Below are 10,002 nucleotides of genomic sequence, written 5' to 3'. Positions count from 1 at the left end.
CTCATCTGAACTGCAATTGACCCTGTGCACACAATCATGTTATTCATATTCTTATAAACAGAGGGTACAGTATGTATAATTTCCTAGATTTCTGGGAGGGGATGTATCATAACTAAACTCCAACTTTTCCTTTGGAGAAACAGTCCCATTTGTTTCTGGTTAGCTTCAAAGCAAAAACTAATTTTTTCCTTCTATGTGTCAGTAACTCGAGTGAAATTTGTCACTTGTTTTTATGAAAAATTCTTTGCCATTACCTTCATTGCTTGAAATAAAAAAAAATTGAAAAGAAAAAAAAAACCACCCACTACAACTCACACTCCCTGCGTGGTACAAGGCACTTGAAACGCAATGACAGAATGGTGGTGTCATTTCTAGTCATGGAAACTAACAAGAGTCTCCCGGAATGGCCTCAAATTCATCCATCAAGAATCTATTTTCTAGTACCTACTATGGGAGCAAGACCACTGGTGACATCTTGTTCCAATTTAAGCAAGGTTGAGCTGTGGGCCAGCTCCTTCAAATCATAACCAGCACAGAAATTGCCTCCTACCAAAAAACCACAAGGGTTAGACTCTGTAAGAATGAATCCCAGAAAAGCTGGAACTCTCAAGTCCAAGCATATTTCTGAAGCAATCCAGTCAAGAACAGCATTTTCATTTTCTTTCTTTGGAGGATTTCTTGTTTGTCCTAGGATGAAGTTGAAGTGTGGTTGGGGATGAAGGAAGAGCAGCTTTATTTTGCTCCAAAAGAACTAACAACTCCTTCACCACCTTACCTTGAGCCAGAGCTATTTAGAAAATGCTCAATCTATTTTTACCTTTCTATATATGTATTTAATAGAGATACCATTTTATTAGTAAATTACCAAAAACATGAGCTGATGCTCTCTCAGCGGTGACTCATCGTGAATGGGACATTTTCCTAGAGACATAGCTATCCCCAGGGAAAAACCTCCTCTGAGCTGTTATTTTCTAATGTGGGGCATGCCTTACTATAGGGCTAAGAGAATTGTGACATTTAGGGAGGTTCCCTGTCTACATCCTGAATTCCAAACGTTATTATATGCACCATGGCTTTGAAGTCTGTTTATTTGACCCCTTTAAGTTCAAGTAGCCAAAGATCGAAGCAACAAATAGGAGTGGCCCTGAGATGACTCGAAGATGTTGGGTACACCCAGGATGAATGAGGAGCAGTCGATTCACATTTAGGATCCACGAGAGTAATGTGTGTGTCACTGTGGGGGATGACAGAAGAGATGGAGGAGGGAGGGAGGGTGCTGAAGGCAGTGGTCCGTGGTGGCCACCATGACCTGGGGCTACCTGCAGTGGCTCCTGTAATGGAGATGGGGAGCACTGGTTGTAGGGAACCAGCTGGCTCTACAGACCCCTGAGATGGTCACTAGTGCAATTGGCTGAATTATGTCCCCCCAAAATTCATATGCTGAAATCTTAACCTTCAGTGCCTCAGAATTTGACTCTATTTGAAGATGGAGCCCTAAAAGAGGTAATTAAGTGAAAGTGAGGCCATTAGGGTGGGACTTAATCTAATCTCACTGGTGTCCTTATAAGAAAAGGAAATTAGGACCCGGAGACACACAGAGGGAGGACCAGGTGGGGACACAGGGAGAAGATGGCATCTACAGCTCAGGAGAGTGGCCCCAGGAGGAACCAACCCTGCCAGCACCTGGATCTTGGACTTCCAGCCTCCCGGCACCTGGATCTTGGACTTCCAGCCTCCCGGCACCTGGATCTTGGACTTCCAGCCTCCGGAACGGGGAAGAAATAAAGTCCTGTGTAACGACCCTAGTCTGTGGCCCTGGCAAACAGTAGTACAATTAGCTACTGGGATTTGCAGAGCCAAATTCTCCTGGAATTGCTGCCAAACTTCAGATGTTTCCAAAATTGTCTTATATAAAGCAAATTGAGAAAAGCCTTTCTTTGGGATTTTAAAATTAGGGAAAATGGTAGTATTTGAGAAGCTTTATGATCACTCATTTATTTCTGCTTTTTCCTCGCCTCTCTCCTTGTCGAATGCTGGGCCTCCACCACCTCAGCTTCCTCTCTCTCCCGGCCCTTTTGAATCCTGGTCACCTGGTGTCATCTCCCCACCATACCTCTGAACATGCCACAGGTCACCAACAGCACCTCTGGGCCACCTGCAAATGCTTACAGCATTTGACCAAATTATTACTCCTTTTTTTCCTAATTTTTTAAACAGAAGAAATACTTGTATTCTGCAAAAAATTGACACACTGCAAAAACATGGAGTTAAAAGTAAAGCCCAAACCTCTGTTTCTTAACCTCTGCCTCCTTAAAACAGTGGCTGTCAACCAGGGGCAATTCTGCCCCCAGGAGGACATTTGGTAATGTCCAGAGATATAGTTGGTTGTTATAACTGGGTAGAGTGGAGTGTGCTACGGCGTCTAGTGGGAAGAGGCCAGGGAAGCTGCTAAACATCCTACAACGCAGAGCTGCCCCCAGCACAAAGAATAATCTCCCCAAATGTTAGCCATGTCCACATTTGAGAATCCCTGCCTCGGGGTAGCATAAAAATGTGCCCTACTCTTACCTTCTGTGATACTGCATTGGTGTTTTCTTCTATGTTTTGTTTTTGTGTTTGTGTTTTTGTTTAGAGATAGAGTCTTGCTCTGTTGCCCAGGCTGGAGTGCAGTGGTGCAATCATAGCTCACTGCAGCCTCTAGCTCCTGGGCTGAAGCGATCCTCCCATCTCAGCTTCCCGAGTAGCTGGGACTACAACTGTGCCAGCACACCCGGCTACATTTTTTTCATTTTATTTTTAAATTAATTAACCAGACACAAAGAAACTTTTTTTTTTTTTTTTTTTTTTTTTTTTTTTTGGAGAGATAGGGTCTTGCTCTGTTGTCAAGGCTGGTCTTGAACTCCTGGCCTCAAGGGATCCTCTTGCCTAGGCCTCCCAAAGTGCTGGGATTACAAATGTGAGCCACCAGGCTGAGCCTTGGACTGAATTTTACCCCTTCAAAATTCATAGGTTGCAGCTCTAACCCGCAATGTGACTGTGTTTGGAGACAGGCCCTTTGTGGAGGTAATTAAGGCTAAACAAGGTTATATGTATGGGGCCCTAATCCAATAAGACTGGTTTCCTTATAAGAAGAGGAAGAGACACCAGGGCTCTCTCTATCTCCACACAACAAAGAGAAAAGGCCAAATGAGGACACAGTGAGAAGGCAGTCATCTGCAGGACAGGAGGAGATATCTCACCAGAAACCAACTCAGCTGTCACCTTGATCTTGGACTTCCAGCCTCCAGAACTGTGAGAAAATACACTTCTGTTGTTGAAGTCATGCAGTCTGTGCTATTCTGTTATTGCAGCCCAAGCTAATACACCTTAGCTTGTCTTCTTTCCATGTCTTCACATGGTCTTCCCACTGTGCATGCACATTTCTGTGTCCTGATTTCCCTCTTGTTGTAAGGACACCAGTCATATTAAATTATGACCCACCCTAATGACCTCTTTTTAACCTAATTACCTCTTTAAAGACCCTATCTCCAAACAGTCACATTCTGAAGTTCTAGGGTTTAGGGCTTCGACGCATGAATTTAGTGATGGAGGGAGCACAATTCAGCCCATATGAGGCAGCATCTAAAGTAACCCCACAGGAGCTATCACAAGGCCAGGTACATACCTGCTCTGTGGAACTCTGTCCATGAGTCCAGGCCATCCACAATCACATTCTCATACCCTTTAGAATTTTTAGGCATGAATAAAACATCAGTCCACCATGCCCCTTCGGCTCTGTGAATTAAATGTCTAGCTCCTTGAGATCCCATTAAAGCTCCCCTCCCTGGCCTGGAAGTGAGGGAAAGGGAGGAGGCATCTCCATCCCTTCCCCACGAAGTGTGAGCAGAAGTCACAGAGTGCTAAGCACGCTCTCCAAACACCTTCTGTGATTTCAGACCTCCTGGATAACTGCCTCAACTCTTTGATACTCTTGGATAGACACGTGGCCAAAAGTTACAAAACTGCTTTTTGGAAATCTCTTTTACAATTCCCACATAGCGATCTTCCTTCGGCGGGTCAGAGAAGTGGGCATCTGCTATAGTGGTGACCTAGCTGAATCTGAAACAGAAATAGCTGCACTTAGAATCCACTTACAAGTATAGTCCTTAGGATGTCTTCAGCTGCAAGTGGTAGAAAATCCTAATTGGCATTGATACAACTAATAAGGGGCTTAATATGTCACATAAGAAGCACCCAAGGAGGGCAGCTCTAGGCCCATCAGGACGTCAGCTCATTTCTGTGATTTTCATGGCTTCATGTGTTGGTTTCATCCTGAGACTGGCTGCAAGATGGCTGTAGCAACCACTGACACATTGTGTAGACAGAACAGGGGCTGCTGATCATTGTGCAGAAGTCGCCCCAAGGACATCTTCTCAAGTCCCATTGGCCAGAATAGGGATACATGCCCTCCCTTGAACCAGCCACCTACGAGGAGAATGGGATTGCCATGATGAGCTCAGTCTTAGGATTTCTACCTCCTGCATAGTTCCCAAGCGTGTCCAGAGTGAGATGAGATGATCAGCTCTACTGCCCCCACCACCCCCAAATACAGACCCCGGGGAGAACCTGTGCCAGCTCACAGGACTAATCAGGTAAACTAGAGCCATCTTACACTGTCTAAGGCTCCCGCCCTGCTTCCACTCTAAGGAAGCCAAATGAGGGGGAGAGAAGAAGCAGCACCAGCCGGTGTTATTTTAAAGGTATACTGACTCCCGTGCATTTAAAGGAGGGTCTGATAACCAAAAAACATTGATGCTGAGATGGGAATTTGGAGCTGGATCACCTCCTGCCCAGCTGCCAATGAGGACCCCACTGTAGGTAGCAGCAGGAGGAGCACAGATCGTCCCGGGTCCAAGATAGCCACTAAGTCAGTGAAGCTTTCACCAGAGGCGCACGTGGTGGCATACCAGTGAAGGCCAGTGCAGGTGTGTGCTCGACTCAGTGCATGCACATTTCTAATAGGTGATTTTTCTAGGAAAGTGTAAATTGTGAAACCAACCTCAGAAGAGAAAAAAATGACAGACTAATTACCGTAAGAGGAATTAAGACATCTGTCAAAGAGCTAACCAAACTGGGGTGTGTGCACACACATATACACACCCAGAAAAGCTCAGATGGCCTCACAGAGACCTAAATCTGTAAGGATTAAATAACCCCCAAACCTATTTAAACTTTTTGGAGCAAGTACAAATAAGACAACATCCCAATTCTTTTTTGTAAATGAAGTTTCCCTGCATTCATATAAAAATCTGTTTAAGATAATAGAAGAAAACTCCAGGCCAATCACACATAGGAATATTGATGGAAAAAAAATTAGTATCAGGAAGTCTATTAATGTAATCACGCATGATATGATCTTGCTATAAAACAGGAGCAAATCAATTGAAACATATAACAAACAACACAAAAATATTACAGAAGGTGGCTAATTACATACAAAGAGACCAGTCCAGAAAAAGTCGGAAGAAAATTCTATTTTCCAATACAGTTATACACCACATAATGGCATTTCGGCTGATAATGGGCCACATATACAATGGTGGTCCCATAAGATTTTAATACCATATTTTTATCCTACCTTTTCTATGTTTAGATATGTTTACATACACAAACACTTAATGTTGTGTTCCCATTGCTTACAGTCTTCAGTATAGTCACATGCTGTACAGGTTTATAGCCTAGGAGCAATAGGCTATACCATACAGCCTAGGAAAGTAATAGGCTGTACCATCTAGGTTTGTGTGAGTACACTCTAAGATGCTCCCACAATGACAAAATCACATTTCTCAGAATATATACATGTCTATAATTAAACATGAAATAAAAAACCATTGCCTAAGCCAAGTTCAAAAGGTTTACTCTTTTCTTTTCATCTATAGTTTTATAGTTTTGGATCTAAATTAGTAATGTCAAAGATATTAGATATATATAAGCAAAATTTGTCAAGTAAGATTTGAACAGATGAGAAAAGATACACTGTTTTGGAACAAGAAGCCCTAATTTTATTAAATATCAATTATCCCCAAATGAATCTATACAGTTACTATAATTTCGGCTGGGCACAGTGGTTCACACCTGTAATCCTAGCACTTTGGGAGGCCGAGGCAGGTGGATCACCTGAGGTCAGGAGTTCAAGACAAGCCTGGCCAAAATGGCAAAACCCCGTCTCTACTAAAAATACAAAAAATTAGCTGGGTGTGGTGGCCAAAATGGCAAAACCCCGTCTCTACTAAAAATACAAAAAAGTAGCTGGGGTGACCTGTAATCCCAGCTACTCGGGAGGCTGAGGCAGGGAAAATTGCTTGAACCCAGGAGGCGGAGGTTGCAGTGAGCTGAGATCGCACCACTACAGTCCAGCCTGGGCAACAGAGCAAGACTCCATCTCAAAAAAAATAAAAAGAGCTTACTATAATTTCAACAAAAATACTAATCAGAATTTTTTAAGTACATGATAAATTGCATTCCTATGATCCTGAATTGGTTGTATTCTCTTTAATGTGCTGCTGAATACCCTTTGCTAATATTTTAGAATTTTTGCATTGATATTGTTTAAGAAATTTGGATGAAATCGTAACTATAAGGACAATGGAATCGGATGGTTATTCCCAAGGTCAGTTCAATTCTGGAAAAAAAGATAATGAAAAGCTGAAAATGATAAAACTGGCCAATAAAAGTTAAGTGTGACCAAGACAGTTACATGGTGCAACAATAGTCTTTTCAGCAAATGGTGCCGGACAACTGGAAATCCACATTCAAATGAACCAAGTGGGACTCTTGCCCCACACCATATACAAAAATTAAGGCAAAATGCAACACAGACCTAAATGTAAGATCTAAAACTACAAAACTCTCAGAGAAAACATAAATTTAGTAGGCAATGGCTTCTTAGATATGACATCAAAAGCACAAATGACAAAAGAAAAAAATAGATAAATTGGGCTTCATCAAAATTAAAACCTTCTGCATACCAAATGACTCCATTGAGAAAGTGAAAAAGCAACCCATAGGATGAGAAAAAAAATTGCAAATCATATATCTGATAAGAGACTTGTATCTAAAAACTTCTATGTGTACATAAAAACTCTTACAACTGAATAATAGAAAACAGCCCAAATTTGAAATGACCAAAGGATTCGAATAGACATTTCTCCAAAAAAAAAGATATACAAATGGCCTGGTCAATGTACACATGAAAAGATGCTCAATATCATTAGTTATTAGAGAAATGCAAATCAAAACCACAATGAGAGACCACATCACACTTGCTAGGAGACTGTACTCAAAAAGACAGACAATAACAAGCGTCGGTGAGGATGTGGAGGGATTGGAGCCCTCATACACGCTGGGGAGAATGTTAAATAGGGCTGCTGCTTTGAAGTTTTTTTCTTCCAACTTTTATTTTAGATTCAGAGGGTACATGTGCAGGTTTGCTACCTGGGTATATTGCATGATGCTGAGGTTTGGGGTACAATTGATCCCATCACCCAGGTACGGAGCACAGTACCCAATAGTTAGTTTTTCAACCCTTGCCCTCCTCTCTCCCTTCTTTCTCTAGTAGCCTATTTGTTTCCATCTTTTTTTTTTTTTTTTTTTTTTGAGACAGAGTCTCACTTTCTCATCCATGCTAAAATGCAGTGCTGCAATTGCAGCTCACTGCAGACTCAGCCTCTTGGGCTCAAGCGATCTTCCCACCTCAGCCTCCTTAGTAGCTGGGACCACAGGTGTGAACTACCATGCCTAGCTAATTTTTTATTTTTTGTAGAGATGGCGTCTTGCTATCTTGTCCAGCCTGGTCTTGAACTCCTGAGTTCAAGGAATCCTCCCACCTTGGCCTTCCAAAGTTCTGGGATTGCAGGCATGAGCCACCTCACCTGGCCTGTTGCTATCTTTATGTCCATGCATACCCAATGTTTAGCTTCAATTTATAAGTGAGAACAGGCAGTATTTGGTTTTCTGTGCCTGCATTAAATTCCTTTAGGATCATGGCCTCTAACAGCATCCATGTTTCTGCAAAGGACATGATTTCATTCTTTTTAATGAATTTCATTATTTTTTATGGCTGCATAGTATTCCACGGTGTATATGTACCACATTTTCTTTATCCAGTCCACCATTGATGGACTCCTAGGTTAATTCCATCTTTGCTATTGTGAATAGTGCTGCAATGAACATGTGATTGTATGTGTCTTTTTGGTAGAATGATTTATTTTCCTTTGGATATATACCCAGTAATGGGATTGCTGGGTCAAATAGTTTAAGTTTTAAATGATTAAATGGTTTATGTTTAAGTTTCAAGTGGTTTATGTTTTAAGTTCTTTGAGAAATCTCCAAACTGCTTTTTCCACAGTGGCGGAACTAATGTGCATTCCCACCAACAGTGTATTAAGTGTTCCTGTTTCTCTACAGCCTCACCAGCATCTGTTATCTTTTTATTTTTTAGTAATAGCCACTCTGAGTGGTAAGAGATGGTATCTCATTGTGGTTTTGATTTGCATTTCTCTGATGATTAGTGATGAGCATTTTTAAATATGTTTGTTGGCTGCTTGTATGTCTTCTTTTGAGAAGTGTCTGTCCATGTCTTTTGCCCATTTTTAAGTGGGGTTATTTGGTTTTTGCTTGATCAATTGTTTAAGTTCCTTATAGATTCTGGATGTAAGACCTTTGTCAGATGCATAGTTTGCAAATATTTTCTCCCATTCTGTAGGTTGTCTGTTTTACCCTTTTTTTTTTTTTTTGATGGAATCACACTGTTGCCCAGGCTGGAGTGCAGTGGCACAATCTCAGGTCACTGCAACCTCCACCTCTTGGGTTCAAGCAATTCTCCTGCCTCAGCCTCCCAAGTAGCTGGGACTACAGGCATCTGCCACCATGCCCAGCTGATTTTTGTACTTTTAGTACAGATGGGGTTTCACCATGTTGGCCAGGGGCTGGTCTTGTACTCCTGACCTCAAGTGATCCACCCATTTTGGCCTCCCAAAATGCTGGGATTACAGGCAGGAAACACCACGCCCAGCCTGTTTATTCTTTGATAGTTTCTTTTGCTGTGCAGAAGCTCTTTAGTTTAATTACATCCTATTTGTCAATTTTTGGTTGTGTTTCAATTGCTTTTGAGGACTTAGTTGTAAGTTATTTCCTAAGGCTGATGTCCAGAATGGTGTTTCCTAGGTTTTCTTCTAGGATTCTTATAGTTTGAGGTCTTATATGTAAATATTTAATTCATCTTCAGTTAATTTTTGTAAATGGTGAAAAGTAGGGGTCCAGTTTCATTCTTCTGCATATGGCTAGCCAGCTATCCCAGTACCATTTATTGAATAGGAAGTCCTTTCCTCATTGCTTCTTTTTGTTGATTTTGTCAAACATCAGATGGCTATGGGTACGTGGCTTTATTTCTGGGTTCTCTATTCTGTTCCATTGGTCTACATGTCCATTTGTACTATACTGTTTTGATTACTATAGCCTCATAATATAGTTTGAAGTCAGGGAGTGTGACGCCTCTGGCTTTGTTCTTTTGCTTAAAATTGCTTTGGCTATTCAGGCTTTTTTTTTGGTTCCATGTGAATTTTAGAATAGTTTTTTCTAGTTTTGTGAAAAATGATGCCTGTAGTTTGATAGGAATAGCACTGAACCTGTAAATTGCTTAGAGCAGTATGGCTATTTTTATGATATGAATTCTTCCAAACCATGAGTGTGGAATGTTTTTTCATTTGTATCATCTACGATTTCTTTCAGCAGTGTTTTGTGTTTGTCCTTGTATAACACTTTAACCTCCCTGTTAAATGTATTCCTAGATATTTTATTATTTTTCTGCAGCTGTTGTAAATGGGATTGCATTCTCAATTTGGCTTTAAGCTTGAATGTTATTAGTATAGAAATGCAACTGAGTTTTGTACAATGATTTTTGTATCCTGAAACTTTACTGAAGTTGTTTATCAGTTCTAAGAGCCTTTTGGCGGAGTCTCTAGG

This window comes from Homo sapiens, chromosome 6 (genome assembly GCF_000001405.40).
Source record: "Homo sapiens chromosome 6, GRCh38.p14 Primary Assembly".
Lineage (NCBI taxonomy): Eukaryota > Metazoa > Chordata > Mammalia > Primates > Hominidae > Homo > Homo sapiens.
This window is presented reverse-complemented; position numbering follows the sequence as displayed.